The 21,651-nt window shown below is 41.4% G+C and overlaps 1 protein-coding gene across 12 annotated transcripts in view, besides 2 other annotated features; it reads left to right on the forward strand.

Annotated features, from left to right (window-relative positions):
• ETV6 (ETS variant transcription factor 6) overlaps window positions 1-21,651 on the forward strand; it is a 245,704-nt gene that overhangs the window by 132,648 nt on the left and 91,405 nt on the right. The window lies entirely within an intron of this gene.
• Window positions 12,571-13,259: an enhancer, noted in NCBI's record as "H3K4me1 hESC enhancer chr12:11947826-11948514 (GRCh37/hg19 assembly coordinates)". NCBI's record gives its function as "activates a minimal SCP1, AML or CMV promoter by ChIP-STARR-seq in naive H9 embryonic stem cells {active_cell/tissue: H9 hESC(naive)}" and the evidence as "EXISTENCE:reporter gene assay evidence [ECO:0000049][PMID:30033119]".
• Window positions 13,260-13,948: an enhancer, noted in NCBI's record as "H3K4me1 hESC enhancer chr12:11948515-11949203 (GRCh37/hg19 assembly coordinates)". NCBI's record gives its function as "activates a minimal SCP1, AML or CMV promoter by ChIP-STARR-seq in naive H9 embryonic stem cells {active_cell/tissue: H9 hESC(naive)}" and the evidence as "EXISTENCE:reporter gene assay evidence [ECO:0000049][PMID:30033119]".

Below are 21,651 nucleotides of genomic sequence, written 5' to 3' on the forward strand. Positions count from 1 at the left end.
AACTGTTGTTAATCAATGTATCTACTCTCGGTGATTTTAAGAGAGAAAAGAAGACTTTTTGTTTTTGTCTGAGAGGAGTTTTTAACCTGGAAAGACAGCTGAAACGTTATCTGAAATGTGAAATGTTAAACATTTTATTATTAAGAGACAGTGTGTTTTTTATTTTACTCACACAGTATGTGTGCATTTGTGTTTTCTGCGACTGCACATTTGTAATAATAGGCTCATATTTTGTTTTTCATTTTAAAATTGGCTTTGTAGGATGTTCACTAATGTGGAAAGACAGAGGGATTGGGGAATCACTGGGAAATGCTTGGAGTCAGTCTGTTATGTAGATGTGCAAGGTATTGACTACAGAGTGAGACACTCTTGCTTGGTTATGTCCTATTTCTCTCTGAATTTTTTAATTCTCAAAAAGTAATTTAGAACTATAACACCTTGGTTTGTATGAGTGTAAAATGATTTATAAGATAACCTCAGGTGTGTTGACAGAAGAAATGCAATTAAATTGTTTCCATGTTTAAGAAAAATATGGGAGGTATATGTATTATAAGTATACATCTATTGACTGGCTAAAGAAGAAAAGATGACTAGGGTATGCCATGCTAAGGAGTTTAGATTTTGTGCTGGAAGTTTAAATAGGGGAGAGAAGGGATGTGTGTTCAGAAGGCTTTTGTAGGTAGCAGCTGTAGCAATGATCTAGGTGAGAAAAAAATAAGTACAAGCCAAAGCAGTGTCAGAGAGATGGAGTGAAAGAGAAACATTCAAGTGATTAAGCAGATTGATTGGGCAAGGTGAGTGGCAGATCAGATGAGGAGCAAGGGATGGGAAGCAGAAAAGACAAGTCTCCGTGGAGCCCATTATCTAGAGTGGCAAGACGAGAAGGAAGAGCCTATAAGAGGGCTCCCCAGAGAGACAGGAGGGAAATCACAGAGATCAAGGAAGGAGAATTTCAGGAAGGAAAGAATGATCCTGCCCAATCAGATGCTGCATAGAATTCAGGTAAGATGAGGACTGAAGGTGTCTTTGGCTTTTCCAAGTAGGGAAGTCATCAGTGACCCAGTAAGCACAATTTCTGTGGCGGGGAGAGGCAGGTGGAAACCTGATTGCTGTGGGTTGAAATGTGGAAGAAAGTGATTATAGATGACTCTCTTACTGGATTGGAATCGAGAGAAAAGATAGGATCTGGAAGGCAACAGCGGGTGAAGGGAGGTTTTTGCTTTTGTTTTGTTTATTTAATGGACGGTATTTAGCCATGTAGAATTGTTGGTAAGAATCAGAGAGTTGAAAATAAAGGAGAAATATGGGGTGATTTATGGAACAGAGTCCTTGTAGAAGTGAGAAAAAATAAGAGGCAAAGTAAAAATGGAGGTATTATTTCATTTTCAATGGAAAGATGGACACTTGTTACACTGAAATCAGAGGAAAGGTGTGTGTGAACATAAGACAGTTGTTTGTATGGGGGCAGGCTTCATAACTTGTGGAAACTCCCACTTCACAGCCTTTTTGTTTGTGGTTGGTTGTTTTTTTGTTTGTTTGTTTGTTTGTTTTGCCTGAGAAGCCAAAGATACAGGAGGTGGCAGTGAAGGAAATGGGAGAGTGCCTGATTGAGCCAAGCTGGGGTCCCCCCACCGCGTGGCATCGCCTCCCAGTGGGAGGCCTGGAGTTTGTATTGATACTAATTTGTCTGTCTGTGTGGTTTCCCCCTGTGCTGCTCAACACCGTAGTGTAGGAGGGGTGAAAGGAGATGGTGAGACCCATTCTTTCAGGAAATATTAACTGAGCACCTGCTATGTGCCAAGTGTGTTCTAAACTATCAAGATACAGGCCAGGCACAGTGGCTCATGCCTGTAATCCCAGCACTTTGGGAGGCCAAGGTGGGCGGATCACTTGAGATCAGGAGTTCGAGACCAGCCTGGCCAACATGTTGAAACCCCGTCTTCACTAAAAATACAAAATTAGCTGGGCGTGGTGGCACCCGCCTGTAATCCACTACTCAGGAGGCTAAGGCAGGAGAATCACTTGAACCTGGGAGGCTGAGGTGGGAAGATTGCTTGAACCCTGGAGGCGGAGGTTGCAGTGAGCCGAGATCACGCCACTGCACTCGCGCCTGGGTGACACAGCGAGACTCCATCTCAAAAAAAAAAAAAAAAAGATACAGAATTTAACACAGGAGGAGCAAGCCATGTGACTATGTGAGTTCAAAGTATTCCAAGCACAAACAACAATAAAGACCTTGAGGAGGGAAAGTGTTTGATGTATTAAAAGGAACGCGAGGAAGCAAATGTGTCTAAAGTGATTGGCAAGTGAGGAAGAGCGGAGTTCGGAAACAGGAGTGGGGCAAGAGGACTTGGGAGGAGGCTGTAGGCCACTGTAAAGATACTGTGTTTTTTGTCATTTTCTGAGACAGGCTCTTGCCTCGGCTGGAGTGCAGTGGTGTAATCATAGCTCACTGCAGCCGCAAACTCTTGGGCTCATGATCCTTCCGCCGCAGCCTCCAGAGTAGCTGGAACTACAAGTGTGCACCCCGTGCCTTGCTAATTTTTTTTTTTTTTTTTTTTTTTTGGTAGAAATGAGGTCTCACTATGTTACCCAGGCTGGTCTCAAACTCCCAGCCTCAAGCAATCCTCCTACCGCAGCCTCCCAAAATGCTAGGATTACAGGCATGAACCACTGCGCCTGGCCGGGACTTTGGCTTGTATTAATAATTTGCCAATGAGAATTGTAAGCAATGGATTGACATGCTCTTTGAATTTTAAGGAATCATTCTAGCTATTGTGTAGAGGATAGGAAGAGGGAGAGTGGGAGAAAGGAGGGGGAAGTGTGAAAGTAGAGAGGCCTGTTAGGGATCTCTTAATAAGTCTGGCAAGACATGATGGCAGGCCGTACCAAGCATGTTCCTACCTCAGGCCTTTGCACTTGCTGACCTCGCTCGCTGGGATGCTCTTCTACCAAATATATACTTGAACCACTGCGTCCCTCCTTCAGAGATATCTGCTGAAATGTGAGGTCTTCATAGTAAACCTCACCCCTTCACTTGTATACCCTTTCCATGACATTTTTTCCTCTATAACATTTATCACCATTTGACACAGTGTATATTTTACTTGTTTATTTACTTAGTGCCTGATTTCCTGACTAGGATGTAAGCTCAAGAACAGGGATTTTTCTGTTTCGTTCATTGCTGTGTCCCTGATGCCTAGAACAATGCCTGCAGTGAGGAGGTACTCAATAAGTATTTGTTGAATCAATTAGGGAATGAAGCTCTTCCATCTCCATTATCACCAATACCACCTCTACAGTTATAATTAGTGAGAATTATGGCAGTGCTAATGTTATTTTTTCATTTCCATGTGTGCCTTTTTGGAAAGACTTGCTGCAACAAGCTTCACATATCTTCCTCTGCAGAGTAGAAGTATGTCACTAAGCCATGGAGTTGATTTCTTGGCTCCTTGTATAGCAAATAGCCTTGCATTTGGTTCGTGTCAGTCTTTGCATCTTTTTTTAGTCACGTTGCCTACACCCTTCACAATCCTCTAGCTTAAACTCTTGAGTAACTCTGGACACTGGCGTTAGCTGGAAACTTGAGAACCAGAGGAATGATACTGCCAATAACATGCCTTATGTGCTTGGCATCTAATTTTGGCACTTGTTTTAGCAGGTTTGATTGCATAATTTAGCCATTGGCTACAAAAAAAAATGGCCACATATCCTGGGAGGAAGGGAAGATTTGGAGGTATAAGATGGAATCTGTCCTAGGGATTTGAGGACGGGCTACGGTTCTTGTTTTTTTTAAAATATTCCTTCATTTTCAATACTCTTGGGATTATTCCAGGCCTTATGCATTGACCATCACTCAATATTACTTCCTTTGGGGAGTATGGTATGACGCCATCATTTCTGGTCTTTTCATATGAAGTCTCCATTTTTATTATATTTTTCATGCCTGAATCTCAGGTTTTGCAATATTTTCTCTACCACAAAATCTGTTATCAATTAAGTACAACTTAATTTGTTTTTTTTTTCACTTTTCCCTAATTAAAGATATATATACGCTAATTCAGAATAAGTATGAAATATAATAACTGGAAATAGGACATATAATTGACATAATCCCAAAATAAAAACAAATAATTTGTAGATTTAGTCCTCATAGTCTCACTGGATCAATATAGGATTTCTGATCAAATATGATGCATTTTGAGAACCCTCAGTTTATGTCTAGAGGAGAGTCTTTTATTTTTAATGTGCGGGATTTAAGTTGTAAGTGAAGAGGACTGCGTCAAGAGGCAGGATAGTAGTTCTACCCCAAAACAGATGTGTGATGTTGAACGAGTCACTTGGAGAAGGATGCCATGGAGAGTATTGGGCCAGGTGATTTCTAAAGACTCTTCCAGCATTAAAATACATTAATTCTTTGCATACATCCATGCCTTTTGCTGCTTTTGCAGCTTTCAGGGTTAATGAGAGCTGTCAGGAGCAGTATGACCTTAGAGGGAAATGGCTCATATCAAGAGAGCAGATGCCAATCCCTTCTAGTACTCTCCCTGGGCAGATGACCCACTCCCTATTTAAATCCTTGGCTTTTTTTCTTCTCTGATAAGTGCCTGCATAATTGATACTGTTGCCAGTGATCAAACGCTGAAATGACTAAATGATAGAGCTGAAAAAGACCCTAAGGTGTTATCTAGTCCAATTATGCCCCCTAAACCCCAAAGAGTCTGAAAGAGTAATGGGGCCCATGAGCCAAGTTTAGTATTTCAAATGTCTCGTGGTAATTCTATATTTGGAGACAATATTGTAAGGTTAAGCAAGCTGTGGAAGCATGAGGTTGCTCTGCTTATGGCTGGAGTTATAAATGTGAAAATGGATCAGTTATTCCTAGTAACTGCTCTTGAGTAAGCAGAATCTTTCAAAATGTCATAGCTTTGTTGTCTAATACATAATGGCCACTCACCACATACGGCTTTCAAGCACTTGAATGTGACTGATCCTTACTGAGTTACGCTGTGAGTGTAAACCACACATCAGATTTCAAAAACTTAGTATAAAAAAGTGAATATTTCATTAATTTATATTGATTATCTGTTTAAATGATATTTTCAATACATTGGGTTATATAAAATATTTTATTAAAAGTGATGTCGATTGTGTGTTTTTACTTCTCTTTACTGTGGGGACTAAAATATTTTAAATTCCATTATATGGGTAACATTTCTATTGGGAGTACTGCTCTAGAGTAAGAGATTTCTGGGTGTGAAAAGGCTGAGACTCACTCCTTGTTTTGCAGGTGAGTAAGGTGGGTCAGAGAGGTTAGGCCATTTGTTCAAGATCACACAGCAAGTAGGTAGCCAAGTTAGGAGTAGGCCAGCATACTTTCCTTTACCAAAAATGGCCAAAGGGATCATAGTGATTTTTTTACATGGAGTCTATGACATTGCTGCTTTGGGTCAAAGCCAAAAATATTGTGTAGAATATTAGCAGTTTTCTAAAGCCCTAAGCCCAAGTTGTATCACCCAGTATCAAATCCAATCAAAAATATATTAAAAAGAATACAAGGAAGAAAAGGAAAGAGGAGAAACCTCCCTATAGAAGACCCAGTAAGCAATCTGTTTTCATTCTTGAACAGATTTCTTTCACACCAGTGCCCTGGTATTACTGGAAAAAAGTACATTAATTACGGGAGTAAAGCACAATAAGAAAACATTTACAAGGAGTCCAGCCCTCATCCATCATGCCTTTCCCTCCAACAAAGCAAGAATCTCTTTAACAAATACCCATTAAAAGATTAAGCCTAAGAATAAATTGTTTCTTAGTCCCCAGGCAGTTCATTTGACATCATTTCCATAGGATTAGGGACTCCAGCAATATGTGTTTAGCACAGGGCTATAGTCACACTGCATAGTATTGGTCTAAACCATTCCAAAATATTTTTTTAGATCTCGAACTAATAAGACTTTTATGTGGCTGGTAATTATACTAATATTTCACCCACAAATTGGGCCTTTTTCCCCCTCCACAGTGTGTAACCAAACGCAGCAATTCTGCCTTTAAAAAAAACGAACCACCACCTGTTAAAAAGTGGTCTAGGAAGTATAGCAATGTCATGGAGCTCTTGAGGATGTGTATAATTGAATAGAAAGGAAACCTAGCATCTGGCGCACTCAGTTCTTAGTCCCTTTTCCTCTGAGCCATCATTTCTCTTCTGATAACTGTATTTGGTTCTTATAATTACTGATACTATGATGTGTGGAGTTTAAAGTACCCAACAGTTGTATAAGGCTTGTTACAAACACCTTCAATGTCCCCACTCCCCTCCCTTCACTCTTGATTTCTTTTTGATTTCCTGCTCACCAGGGCAACCACATTCAAATCTTTTAACTGATTCTTTTGTCATTCACCTCCTCCAATTCTTAAATCACGTGCTTGTATTGGTTTTTTTTTTTTTTTTTCATTTCTAAATATTATCTAGCATTATTTCACTGTAGGAAATGACAGTTTGTCCTTTCTTCCCCCTACCCCAACCCCTCCCATAGATGCATCCTCGTAATCATAATTTTGGACAGAACAATTTAGTGTTTACATATTAAGATTATATAAGTGCCATTTGAAGCTGAGTCACCTACTCTTTTATGGTTCTTCTTTTCCAGTCACTTTTCTTTTTCCCTGGAGTTGATAATGATGCTTTTATAGTATATTTATTGTTTTTGTTGTTGTTGTTGCTGTTTTGAGACAGAGGCTCACATTGTCGCCCGGACTGGAGTGCAGTTGTGTGATCTCTGCTCACTGCAACCTCTGCCTCTCAGGTTCAAGCGATTGTCCTGCCTCAGCCTCCCGAGTAGCTGGGATTACAGGCGCCAGCCACCATGCCCAGCTAATTTCTTGTATTTTTAGTAGAGACGGGTTTTCACCATGTTGGCCAGGCTAGTCTCAAACTCCTGACCTCACGATTCGCCCGCCTCAGCCTCCCAAAGTGCTGGGATTACAGGGGTGAGCCACGATCGTATTTCTTGTTTTAATGTCCTTCTTACTTGGTTTTTTATCTCCTTCACTAATTCATCCGCCCTGCCTCACTCTCCTCTCAGTAGTTCAGATGCCATAGGTGTGATGAGCCTTGAAGCAAGAGCTTCTACCTGCTTCGGTCTGGGCTTCAGCTTGGTGCCCAGCTATGACCTTTGTTCACTTTTTCTCTCCTTCGGGTGTGAGTCCCTTTCCTGAATTCTGGCCTTAATGGAGGACAATTTCCAATAGCTTCCTGAGAAAGGGTAGGGGGGAGGCAACTTTATTGAGACCTTGCGTGTCTGAAGAATGTCTTTCTTCTTTCCTCATACTTGATAGATTATTTCCTCATACTTGATAGATTATTTGTCTTACTGTATGATTTTAGACATGGGGTAATTTTCCCCCAGAATTTTGAAGGTAGCACTCCATTGCATTTTTTTTCAGTGCCATTGTTGAGAAGACCATGCCATTCCGATCTTTAATCTTTTGCATAAACCTTTGTTTGTTGACTTATTGTTCCCTGGAAGCATTTTTTTATTCCCCAGATTCTGCAGTTTTACAGTAATGTGCCTTAGTCTGGGTCTGTGCTAATCCTGATGCTCTTTCAATCTGGATATTCATTTCCTTTCATTCTGGGAACTGTCCTCCTGTTTTCTTCATTCTTTCTCCAGAACTCCCATTATTAGGATGTAGGTCCAATAATTATCTTTATTTTTCACCTCTTAATATTTTAAGTTCCTCTTGGAGAGATTCCTCAACCTTTTTTGTCAGCACTTCTTTTTTTTTTGTTTCTGATATCATACTTTTAATATTCAAGTACTTTTTTTGTTCGACTTGTTCTTCATTATAGCATCTTGTTTTTGTTTCATAGTTGCAATATCTTATTTCTCTCTGGATGATATTTTTCTTTCCCTGAGTTGTCTGTTTTCCCCACGTTGCCTTTGTCTGGTTTTGGTCTTTGTTTTGCTGTCTGCCTTCTATACTCAAACGTCTGGTGATCCCTGCATGTCTGCCCATTTCTGAGAGTTGATGGACCCCTCAAGCACTGAAGGCAAGTTCTCCGTGCCTGGGTGAACGTGCTCTCTAGGGTGGCCTGCCCACACATTTCCTTGGGATGCCATTGGGTAAATATCTCCAGGTCTTTTGTCTTTGGCTGCTTAGATTCCCAAGAGATGGTTGACTCTTCTAGTAGCCATCCTGGAGGGTAGATTCTAGCTGCCAACCTCCTAGGAGCACAGTGGGAGAAGAAGGGGTAGGGGGCACAGTGAGCACAGTGGTCAACATATGCATGTTCTTTTAATCTTTCATATAATTTCCGTTAATTCCACCTAGTCATTTTGGTACCAGAGGATAAACTTTTTTTTTTTTTTTTTTTTGAGACAGAGTATCTGTTGCCCATGCTGGAGGGCAGTAACATAATCTTGGCTCACTGCAACCTTCACCTCCTGGATTCAAGCGATTCTCCTGCCTCAGCCTCCCTAGTAGCTGGGATCACAGGCGCGCGCCACCACACCCGGCTAATTTTTGTATTTTTAGTAGAGACGGGCTTTCACCATGTTGGCCAGCATGTGGGTCTGGAACCCCTGACCTCAAGTGATCTGCCCACCTTGGCCTCCCAAAGTGCTGGGATTGCAGCTGTGAGCCATTGCGCCCGGCCAGAGCTTAAGCTTCTAATCTGCCATGGTAGGGGAGGAGCCGTGACTCGACTGTCCAGATTTTCACATGTAACTAGTGACACCAGTCCCCAATCCTTTCACGGATTCTGCCATGTGAATTTGGTTATATCACATCTTTCCTTACTATGAGTTTAGAATTCCGCTTTCTTGGGTTTGCTAAGTAAATTACCACCGGTTCTTCTGCTTTCAAGTTTCTGGTTTGTTTTTCTTTCTTTTTCTCCCCTCCCTCCACCCCCTTATCTCTTCTGGTGTCTTTGTCCTTGTAGATTTGTGCCTTCTTAAAAATCTCTTCACTGTTACTTTAGAGGATTTGGGGGAACGAGAACAGAGCTAAAATTAACTTCCTCCTCTGATGAATGTTGACAGTCTTCCTGCCATAGGGATGTTGTCCAAAATACGTGTTCATGTGTATGTCAAACTAGAGCTTCTCAGGAGGAAAGCTCTTTGTCCATTGAAATTGTTGTCACTATTGATAGTCTTTTTACCCTTAGACCAGTACAACTTGAGTCACACGTGTGGCCCATAAAGATTCCTGTAAGGTCGTGCATAAGGGACAAGTAGTTGTAGCTTTGTATTCGTGTCCAGTTGATGAAAACAAATTGCTATATCTCCTTTGTTACAAGAAATCTATGGAAGAATCTGGATAGAACCCAGATAGTTATATTTTTGTTTTTACACTGACCCCTTTAATTCAATAAAGACATCAATATGTGAATACATAATAACTGACACATACTACTATATAAGTGTTCATTGATATTGTTATATGCTGTTTTTTTTTAATAATACTTGTAAATTTTCCAAGAGTTTTATCTAATGTTTCTCAAACCCAGCTGCACAACAGATTCACCTGGTGGTCGTTTAAAAAAAAAGATTTCATTTCCCACCTTGGGCCTACTAATCTTCAGGGTGGGTGCAGTAGCAAAACAGAGCTTCCATTTTCTGGAGAAGAAGTGAGACATTTTGAGAACCCCGTTGGGAGGGTCGTACACATCACTGATGGTCATTTAGAAAGACAGCAAGATGAAGCAAGGAGCCAGCTCTGAGAGCTGCGGCTAAAAGCAAAGCCTGTATCCACAGCAAATAGATAAATCAATATACACGTGTAGTATAAATGTATAGAACACCTGGAAACCAAGGCACTATGCTGGGCCCTCCTTCTGTACAGAACACTTAGGCAGTATGTTGCCCCCTTTCTTTATGATGTTTTGCCCCTTTGTTTCAGTCAGATTTTACCTGGATAGGAGGATGAGCAGAAGAGGCTGGTGTGGATGTGCATTTTGTTCCTGCTCTCCCAGTGACAGACATTGAAGTGTTGGCCGGAGCTAGCTAAGAATTTACTTTAGACAAAATCCTGAATAGGACCCACACAACTCTGAGACGGATTACATTTAAAAATTAATCCTCGGCCAGGCGAGGTGGCTCACGCCTGTAATCTCAGCACTTTGGGAGGCCGAGGTGGGTGGATCATGAGGTCAGGAGTTCGAGACCAGTCTGGCCAACATGGTGAAACCCTGTCTCTACTAAAAATACAAAAATTAGCCAGGCGTGGTGGCGCACGCCTGTAATCCCAGGTACTCGGGAGGCTGAGGTGGGAGAATTGCTTGAACCCGGAAGGTGGAGGTTGTAGTGAGCTGAGATTGTGCCACTGCACTTCAGCCTGGGCAACAGAACAAGATTCCATCTCAAAAAAAAAAAAAATTAATCCTCTTTCAGTGTCAGGTCCCATTTGCTAATGGGGTTCAATTTTCATTCATCTACTGTAAAACCAAACAATTCTTATTTGCAGCTGAGCTAAGGGGCAGAAAAAGGAGGAAATAAAAAGCATTAAGTTTTATTTCCATGTATGCAACCCAGAAGGTTCTAAATGGTTACTTTATTTGAGCAACTTACTTTATTAATAGCAACTTCTTGTTTAACTAGAGCAGTGTTGGAAAAATAATTTAACAGAAATTTTAGTTAGGGGGCTACGGGAGGGGTGGGAGATGAAAAACTGAAGAATGACGAAATTCACATCCACTAATGTTTACATTTTTAAAGCTTTAATGTCTGTTTTTAAGGAATAGTTCTTTAATTTAAAAAAAAAAAAACCTTAACATATTCTCTGTATACTCTAGTGTTGGAACAATGGTGACTGATATCGGAGCTTTCAGTTGGTACAGTAATAATAGCTAAAGCTCACCCAGCACTAACTGTGGCAGATATTGTCCTAAGCACTTTACATCTGCTAGCTCATTTTATCCTCCCAAGAGCCCTTTGAGAAGTTTCTGTTATTACCTCCAATTTAAGATGAGGAAACTGAGGCACCAACGGCAAGCTTGCTCATGAGTGGTGGAGCTCCCCTGTTCATTTAACCATGTTGCTGTATTGCCTGGTGCTGCTTACCACAGGTGCCTGGCCCATAGGACTTTATGTCCTGGACTGGGCAAGGTTATAGAAGATGTTTTAGTTATTAGACAAAGAAAGCCATGCTGTTCCTTCCACACACCATCTCATTCAAAACCAATGGTCACTCTGTTTGGGGGCCACTAGGAGAGATGAGGTTCAGAGAACTCCAGTAAATTAAGGTCACAAGGTCACACAGATGAACAGTGGCTACCACTATCAGCTAGGATTCAACCCAGGTCGGACTCTACAGCTGGTGGGATGCCTCCCTTCTCTTAGTATATGTGCTCTGTTTTGCCGCTCAGGAGGCAGGAAAGAAAGATCAAGGATGAGTAGGTGCCTGTACTCCTAGTTACCTTGCGTAGCGCTATGTGACTCTTACTTGTATTTCCCAGGCATAAACCTGGCTGCATGGCAAAGAAAGCCAGGAAGGCAGCGTTCTCCTTTTTTGTGTAGAAGAAAATACTCTTGCCTCAGCAGCAGAGAACTGTGTCCACCTACTGTTTATTTTCCTCCCCCTTTTTCTTTTTTTCTTCATCAAAAAGATATGAATGCTGAGATCATCCCAGAGAAATCTAGAATAAATACCATGAGAAAATAGTCCCTCTGGAAGGCGTCTTGTACTCCTGCTGTTTGTAAATGTGAAAAGCTCAGCAACCGGGCAGCTGGATGGGTATAAATATAGCCCACAGCACTGACGCCCGCTGAATCCTGCTTTCTTAGAGGCACAATGGGAACCCACGGAAGTCAGAGAAGGAGCAGTAAAGCCCAGTCGATCAATCAGCCTCTCTCTTTCTCTCTCTCCATCCTGGACCTTAGTGTGGGCGTGAGGATAGAAGCAGCTTTAAGAGTGCACTTAAAATAGCTCTTGGAACTGGACATTGGCTAAGCTCAAAGACAAGGAAGATGCTTCCTATGAAACCGACCTCTGCCTGACCCTTACCTGGGGCTATTTTGACCATTCTGGTCCGTGATCTTAGGGCTGTGTTCTTTCTCAGTTCAGCTGCTTGGGCACAAGCAGGTTTTCTAGTGCACGCTCCAGGCGTTTGGCGCCTCTCTGCTGCCTCCGTACTCAGAGATCTTATTCTAACTAGACTCAGCTGTCTGAAGCCTGGTGATTAAAAATAGCCTCCTGGTGCTAGCTGTGGAATCAAGGGAGAGATACTCAGTGAGCAGAGAGGTCAGCTTGACGCAAGACACCTGACTGTCATACCTGTGGGTTTCCTTGCACCTGAGTTTTTTATCTCTTGAGGTATTTTCCTTTTATACTCTATCAGTGCCCATTTTTTATGGCTATGCAAGATAAACCAGTCATTTCAGATTTGTGGGGATTAGTAGAAGTCTGCATTTTGGCAGGAGAAAACCATTATTTTACTTGGTGGTTCCCAGAAATAAAGTCTCTAGTTATCATTCCATGCAGACATCAATGAGATTTGCCATTGAGGCATACATTTATTTGTTTTCTCTTTCTCATTTGGTGGTAAATACTTCAAAGTAAAGAACCATGTCCTCTACTTCCGTTGTAACTGCCCACAAAACTTAATAATTCATCTTACATGTCTTGTTTTGTGACCGTTGAACTGACCGTAACAGCCTTTCTCTGATGTCCATGGCATGCCATTAGTAAGAGTCACAAATACTGTGATACTCGCCTAATCCATTTTTAAAGTCTGTTCAGGGATAGTCTAAGAGTACAAGGCATATGTGCATATTTGCTTTTAGTTGTTTCATTCAATGTAAGCTGGATCTGTGCCTTACTTTTAACTTCTAAGATTGCTTCCTTCAAATTGGACCTCAGCATATAATATTTATAAAAATAAAGCAGGAACTGTTATTTGGTTAAAGCAGAATATACTTAAAATATTAAACTTGGGATAACTTAGAGAAAGCCCTGAAGTTGAAGAGCTTGGGGCTCTGTCAGTCCGCTGGTGGCCGGAGTGCCCCAGCACCGGGCCTTCCTCACAAAACATTCTGCCTCTGATTCCCTATCCTTGGAACTGGTGCCCAGTTAGCAAAGAGCACCAGCTGTTCTGGCCTTGGGGACGATGCATGGAGGAGGGGCACCCTCCAAGGAAACCAGGCCAATAGAGCCAAAGTGAACAATTTCAGTCATCATTGGGAACCATGATAGATTATGTAGCACTTTAATGATTGATTTCCTAAAAACCATTCATGCAGTCTTTGGAAGTTCAGCTTGTCACTTACTGGCGTGCCCTCCAGGGCTTCTGTCCACATCGATTTCACCACTACATCTCCACCCATGGAAGGCATGGGCCAAACCCATTCATATTCCAGAGAACAAGGTGCAGTTTCCATGGTATACAGAAAGGTAATATTGTACAGTGGGCAATAACATTCCAGTTCCGGCTCTGCTACTTCCTACTTCTGAGCAACTTGGAAGGTTGCCTAACCTCTCCAAAGACCTAGATAAAATGGGGTTAAGAATAGTGTCCACTTCATAGGGTGGTTCGAAGAAATAAGTGAAAATATAAATGTAAAACACTTAGTACAGTGTCTGTCACACAGCAAGGACTCAGTAAATGTTAGCCAAGAGGGGAGGAAGGAGGCTGCCACCCTTATCTGTTAGCTCAGCTTCAAAAAGCCTAGCAAAATAACATCATGAATTTGATCTGAGTGGTCACAGCAAATCCATTCCCTCACTGATGAAGCTCAAATTACCTTGGCCACATTCTTTAGATTTTTCCCTTTGCCTCTGAATGAAGCATTCACTTGACGTAGATAAAATACAGACACCTCAGCCTCCAGTTCAGCCACTGTCCAGTCAAGCAGGAAAGTACATTGTGAGTGAGTCTTAAGTGAAAAGGACTAGTTATGATGCATTTGAGACAAGAAAGTAGATCGAGCTTTAGGCTTTTCCTTTTCTTGCCGGAAAGGAAAAAAACAACATTGCATTAATCATCATCTGGTCCTCGGCCAAGATTCGTATTTACCTGTTATGTGCCATATTCATACTCACCCTGTAATGTGGCAGCCTCGTGCCATTTATCATTCCAACAGCCCATAACAGATGAGGAGACACAGATGACTTGTCCAGGGTCATCAAGCTTGTCAATGGCAGAGTGAATGTTGGAGCTCAGACCTTCTGACTCTCAACCCAATGAGATACAAATAAAATAGTGGAAACCACCAGCCAGCCCTCCCAAGTGTTTAGGGGCATTAAAGACACTGGCCATCCTAAAGGCGCCTCTTACTCTTATACATCATCTACCACTGAAACCAGAGCTTCCGCTGTGCACTGTCCATGCGTGGGGCCGATCAAGGACACCAAGGCTGTGCAATGACAGGTTTCTTCTCTATAAACTTTCCTTGTCTCTTTCTTTTAAGACATTGAATAGCACTAAGGGATAATTTCTTCCTTTTCTTTTTTTTTTTTTTGTGTGTGTGTGTGTTTTGATTTTTGACACAGGTTCTCTCTCTGTCACCCAGGCTGGAGTGCAGTGGCATGAACATGGCTCACTGCAGCCTCCACCTCCTGGGCTCAAGCAATCCTCCTACCTGAGCTTCCCATGTATGTGGGACCACAAGCATGCCGCACCATGCTCAGCTAATTTTTAAAATTTTTGTAGACACAAGGTCTCACTATGAGCTACCATGCCTGGCCTAGGGTAATTTCTTAAAGTAGAGCTTTATCTCCTTGTCGAGAGGCATTTAGATGTCCTTTCTTCAATGAAAGATTCTTTTTCTCCTCTAAAGAACCCAGAAATAATTTGTTGGTCCTTTACTATGATGTCCCTAACAGATCTAATCATGCCTCTCCATTTTGAGACCATTCATTCTTTCAAACACCATTATTTTTATTCAGACAGTGTACCTAGCAATAGTCCCGGCACTGGGAACACAGAAATGAAAAGTTACTCTCTTTAAGAAATTCACAGTTCCAAAACCTCGGCTGTACCCACAGAGTCAGGGTCATAGGGAAGTTTCAGTACCAGATAGTGGGAGGAGGGCCAGGGCTGCCAGTCGTTGGTGAATGTGGTAAGGTGGCAGGCTGTTGGCAGTTGAGAGCTGGCATCCAGCATTAACCTTAGAAACAAAGAGCTCAAGGAGCAGAAATCCAGCCACAGAGACTGGGATTCGGTCATAGGACTTCTGTTATTGAGAAGGACTGGAAGACAGAGCTGGGTAGGAACCAAGATAGGCATCCCATTACAGCAAAGGCTTGTTTTTAGGTGGCAGACAAGGGCACAGAAAAGCCAGCAGGAGTGACTCAATACTGGTTCCCTGAACCACTGGTCCCAAGCTTCCTCTTGATAAAGGGTAGGCCTGGTCCCGGAGTCTGGGTGGAGCTGAACTTCAAAGTAAAGGAGGGTTAAGTAAGCCTAACTGGAAAGGTTCTGGGCCGTAGGGGCAGACAGCCAAGCATCTCACTGCAGCTAAAACCCAAGTAAAATAAATAGGACTTATGGTATGCACAAATCTCTCATACCAGAGAAAGTGGACATTCCAAGTTTGTGTGATTTGAAGGAAAAGATTTTAGTTCCGTGGTTCTTGTAGGTTGTTACTAGATTGCTAGAATGCTTATAATATAAGATAGTTTTGTGTGATGGGTTTATTTGGGAATGTGATGATAGAAACAAAAGGAAATTCCTTTGTTTTTTATTACCATACAAGGATAAGATTTTGAGATTATCTTTCCAAGGAAAACTTATCAACTATCTATTATGTATCAGGCACAATCCTTTGTACTGGGATTCCAAAGACAAATAAGATAGTTCTTGACCTCAAGGAACTTGTAATTCGTTGGGGAAGACAGATAAGTAACCAACAAATTAGAACGTAGGGTGATTGGAGTGTGTTTCATGTCACTGCGCCACAGAAGAGAAGCAGTTGACTTAGGAGAGGAGAAAGTTTAATTTGGGCCATGAAGGAAATTAAAAGTAAAGACCTCCAAATTGGTGGGCAGCCATTGAAGGATTTTAGGAAAGTGATGTGCTGAGGGATGGATTATAAGATCGGGGGCAGAAAGACCAGTTACAAGGGAAAATCATGCTGGTCATGCCCCAGTACTTACATTTTTCTCATACCACCTCTTAGAGCCCCTGAAAGTGTAGACTCCACTATGGAGAAGCAACACAAATGTGAAATACTAGCTTGCGAGCCACGTGGGTAGCTCTTTCCTCTTCAGGAAAGGGGAATGCTAGTGTCTAGAAGTGGGAGAGATTGAAATGATTCTGTAATGAGGAAATAAGTTACGTTAGGGCACATATATAAAGAAACAGCAGAAAAAATGTAAAATCTCAATCACTCTGTAGCCATGACATTTATAAAAATGAAAATTTTACAAGAGTATTTCTAAATGCTTTGAAGTTGGCCCCCAAAAAGCCTGCCTACCTTCACTTTGAGTTACAAATAAAATCCCTAGTGTTGCATAGCTGTGTGAGTGGTATTTACATTCTCACACATTTCAGATCTCTTGAGTCCATTTTGCTAGTATTTGTTTTCCTTGGAGATAGGAGTTAATTCAGTCACACTTTCTTCCCCTGACAATAACTGCATTTTTTTCTCTAAGGTAGCTTTCCCTCCAACCGTTGCTTGTTGTTCTTACCCAAGACCCAGTATCTGCCAAAACAAATGTATGTGAGTGATAAACGCTGAGAGGAATGTCTGTTGGACCACAGGAAATTTCCTGTTCAGGAAGAGATCTTGGGAACTTCCTGTGGAGGAGTGCATTGTGGGACTTTTGGCTGCAGTCCCTTGACCACAGCTGCAATTAACTAAAGGCAGAGGGGGAGGGGAGAGGAAGAAGAGGAGACAGCTACCCACAGACATTCTTATCCATGTAGCCCGAGGAGAGAATGGGCTCATACAGGTTCACAACTTTGCAAGTGAACTAGATGTCTAGTGCAGAACAAGATCACTGTGCCCAACCTCCTTTACTGCCATCCATCTTTCACAGCCTTCCCGGTGCTTTCCTAGGGCTCCTAAAAACAGTCACTGTCACATTATCCATGTGCATTCCCCAGTCCCTCATAAGCACACATGAAGTGTCCATGCCCTCTGTAGCCCCACCAACTGTTTGGAATCTCTTGATTAGCTTCTAGAATCCAGGCATTGGAGTTGGTGGTCTTTCTCCATCCCAACTTAAGTATGAAAGAGAGGAGAGGAGAACCCGTGGCTCTTTGACATACCTTCATGTGACCCTAAAAGCATTAGGGAAACGTTATGGAACTGTTACGAAAAAAGAGGTTAATAAATCCAATTGATAAGCACAATCAAAACCAACAGGAGAACCATGCATTCTTGTGCTGCAATGCCATTACGAAATGAAGTCCTCGTTAATACCTCATACTCCCCTTCTTGGTCCCCAAACTGGGCACGTCTACTTTGCATTCAAGTGCCTGATGTGTGTGCGTGTGTGTGTTTTATTTTTTATTTTTTATTTTTTTGAGACAACCTATTGCCTAGGTTGGAGTACAGTGGCATGATCACTGCTCACTGCAGCCTCGATGGCCTGGGCTCAAGTGATCCTCCTGCCTTAGCCTCTGGGTCCCTGGGACAGACAGGCATACCACCATGCCCTGCTAATTTTTAACAATTACTTGTAGAGACAAAGTGTTGCTATGTTGCCCAGGCTCTTGATGTTTCTTTACAGCCTTCACTCAGTGCTTTTATGGAGTCCATCTCTGAAGAGCAGGGCTTATATTTGAGTTTCAAAAATCTAAAGTCTCAGCTGGTGGCAATTTACATCTGATAATATATATGACCTTGGAAGTCTCTGGCAGACATAGGAAAGGGGAGTGGACATCTAAGGACTGAAAAATATCCCAGGCCATTTTCTGGGTCATGGAAAAGTAACCTGACCTTCTTATCCCACCTCCTATTCATCATCCATCTCACCTCCCATCCCCATCACATTTTAAATTTTAATTAATTTTTCATTGGCAGATAAAAGTCATATGTTTATGGTATACATACATAAAACATGATATTTTAATGTATGTATACATGTGGACTGGCTAGATCAAGCTAATTAACATAGCCATTAACTCACATACCTGTTTTTTGTGGTGAGAACATTTAAAATCTACCATCTTCATAATTTTCAAACATACACAGTGTTATTAACCATAATCACCGTGTTATACAACAGATCTCCTGAGCTTATTCCTCCCATCTAACTGACGTTTTGTATCCTTTGACCAACACCTCCCCACCCGCATCCCTTCTTTTACTCTGCTTGAGTTCAACTTTTAGATTCCACATGTAAGCGAGATCGTGTAATATATATCTTTTCATTACTGGCTTATTTCACTTAGCATAATGTGCACCAGATTCACCCATGTTGCTGCAGATGGACTTCAAAATGTAAAATATTCTTCATGAGAATGAAGTTACCCCCCCAGAAAGGGGGACCAGTTACTCCCCAGAAAGAATTAAAAAGTAGCCGGGCATGGTGGCACACACCTGTAATCCAGCTAATAGGGAGGCTTAGTTGGGGGGATCACTTGAGCCCAGGAGTTTGAGACCAGTCTCACAGTCTCAGCAACATAGCCAGACCCTGTCTCATATTTTTAAAACAAGAATTAAAAAGCAAGAATAGTTTGCAGCAAACATTTTCTGAGACTTTTCTAGATAATACTAGGTTTAGTCCGCCCTCCAAAGTAGTATAATTACATCATGGTTTTAAAATTAAAAGCAAAAATATAGGTGAAGCAAAAGTGAGCTTTATTCATCGAAAATTTGTCCTCACTCATCCCATGTGACTTTTTAAAGTGTAATTCTAAGGAGACTCCCAGCATCCGGATGGCAAATACGTGAACAGAGAAACATAAATTAACTGGAAGGGAACAAAATAGACCTCTCAGCTGACCAATTCTTTGTAGCTTTGACATTGGCCTTTAAAAGAACGAGGCAAACTTTTTTAAAGAAAGTTATCTAATTTAATGCAAGAGGTAACTCTCTGGCTATGACTTAGGGTAATTAGGCCTATTTTCTACATTTTGGACGTGTTTCCTATGGCTGGAATGTAAAAGCTTATTTAATATTGATGTAACCCCAAAATTTAAGTAATTGGAATGCACTATTTCTATCACATTCTATTGAGCTGAAGTATAGGTTGTGCTCTGTTCAATTCAGGTTGTCTTGACAAAGACTGAGAAATAGAATGGCCCTCCAAGGGCATACCTGACTATTCTGCGGATAACACAGTCACGCAGGCATTTGCTATAGTGAAAATACTGTTATGGTTAAGCTAGTGGTATCTTGTATTTCAATGATACCTTACGGTTTACCAGTTTTCATGTAATATATTAACCTATCTCATTTAATCATTACAGTGTTCCTTGGTGTACAGATGAGGAATCAAACTCAGATATGACGAATCAAACTCAGATAGGCTAAGGGTGGAGGTAGACCAGGAGAACCTGCACCCGCATGCATTCTTCTCACTGCAAGTTCAGGCAGGCCAGGAGATGAAAGCCAGCATGAGCCAGTGAATAAGCAATTATCTGACAAACCCAAGGCCAGCAGAAGTAAGATAACATCTTTGTTCCCCTCCATTTCTTCCTATGCCATCCAGCCCTCAACCCCTGCTACCTTCAAGCCCTGTTGATACTCACGCCCTCCTGCCCACATTCCTTCGGTGGGGCACTGAAGTTTTGGTGGAGGGGAGCAGAGCGAGGAACTCTTTGTTTGTGCAGTAAGGACTTCCTTACAGGAAATTTCCTGTGATGGAAACTCTGGGGAAACTTCCTGTTGGTTAGGCCACTGCCGGGGGCTGATAACCTGAACCACTTAAAACCTTCAGGGCTCTGCTGCTGAGAGGATGGGATGGCCCTTCCCTGCTTCTCCAAGTCTGGGAGGGCAAGAAAGTCCAAGCGTACAGAAGCCTCAGGAATCTCCCTGGGATGGTATTTTCCAGGAGCTAAAAGCTATGGCTCTCATCAGCTGATCTTATTCTAGAAGACCAGCCCTCATGGTTAAATGGACTGCTTAGATTTATAACGAGAATGGTACCTGCAGCGACATACTAGCTGGATGCATTAATAGGGCTTTGGAAACCATCTCAAAGTTCTGGGTCTGGTTCTTCATACATCATTTTAAAACATATTCCTGTTATATTACTCTCCAGTGTTAAGGGTTTATGAGCACTGCAAACATTTATTTTCAGCTCTCACTTATGAACTTGGAATTCTAATTAATCCTTGTCATTGTCAGACATGGTTGACACTGTATGCTGTGTGGGTCACTTAGCACCAAGTGTAAATCATCTGGGGTATGTCTTGCAGGACGACCAATCTTAAGCCATAGCACAAAATTCTTAAATAGACTTTACAATCATTTCACCTAGTTTGGACTTCTGGTGGATTATTTTGTTCTTTGTCAGCACTCCAGCAAAGATAATTACTCCTAAATCATGCCTTGGATTGAACTGAGCTTTGAATGTCTCCAATGTTGGGAATTCCGTAGGTTCCCATAGCAGCTCTCCTGGCCCAGCTCTTAGTTTGAAAGTTTGGTCTCCTAATTAGCCTGAATTTTCTCTAGTGACCTATAAGCCCATTATTGTAAGCCCTGTCCTTATTGTGTCATAAAAATAATTGACTCCTTGTCTTCAATCTATTTCATATAGGTAGACAGCTGCCACATCAAGAACGTCTTGTAAGTGCTTGATTTACCAAAGTCCATTTCTCCACAAGTTTCTTCATAGTTGTTTTCCTGGATTGGGGGTTATTTTAGCCTTACTTTCTAAAATGACTGGATTTAATGGAGGCCTCTGTCAGTCCCAACTCTCCAAATTTCTGCCCCAGCTTGGTGCTCTTTGCTTTGTTTATAGTAAATAATCATTTCAGCATCAGAATAAATCAGTGAACTGGACATGTCTTTAGGTGGACTTTTGAGATTATATTCCTGGTCCACATTGCAAATTAGGGAAGAATGAAAGAAATTATAATTAACTAGGAAGAAATTTGTCCGCTGAGAAGTCTCCCTTGTTAGACTCCTAGAAAATAGAGACCATAATATTTTATAATTTTTTGTCACAGTTTCCATACATATTTGTTGAATGAATCCTAAAAGTCAAAAGGGAGCTGCTTATTGGATTTGAGTTGCTTCTAGAACATGTTAAAAATTATGTGAATTTTCTCAATGTATTTGTAAGAATAAGCTGTCCTCGTGATTGAGTATTGATCTTCAAAATGGAGAATTATCAGTGGTGAGTGATGCTGCATGTAATGTACTTATAAAGGATAGGAAAAATATTTTGTAAAAATGCCTTGGGATAAGCTTTAAATATAAAAATCCAAAATGGTGATTTAGTTTGGGGCACTCAGAGGAAGAATAAGAATAGGGCCTGTTTAAATTTTTTGCAACATGATTACTCCTGGTTTTACATTTGATTTTGTATTATAGAATGAGATTAACTGGAATATGTTATAAATACAGAAAGTCTGTCATTATAAACACTAGTCAGCACCTTTTGTCTTCATAAGAATAATTGCTATTTTCAATGCATACTTGCTCTAAAATAGACCATATTGATGTCATAATATGTAGACTGAGCAAAAATATTATTAGTATCATCATCATCATCATCATCTTCTGATCTTCATCAAAGTTGTATTAAAATATT

This window comes from Homo sapiens, chromosome 12, assembly GCF_000001405.40.
Source record: "Homo sapiens chromosome 12, GRCh38.p14 Primary Assembly".
NCBI classification, from domain to species: Eukaryota; Metazoa; Chordata; class Mammalia; order Primates; family Hominidae; genus Homo; species Homo sapiens.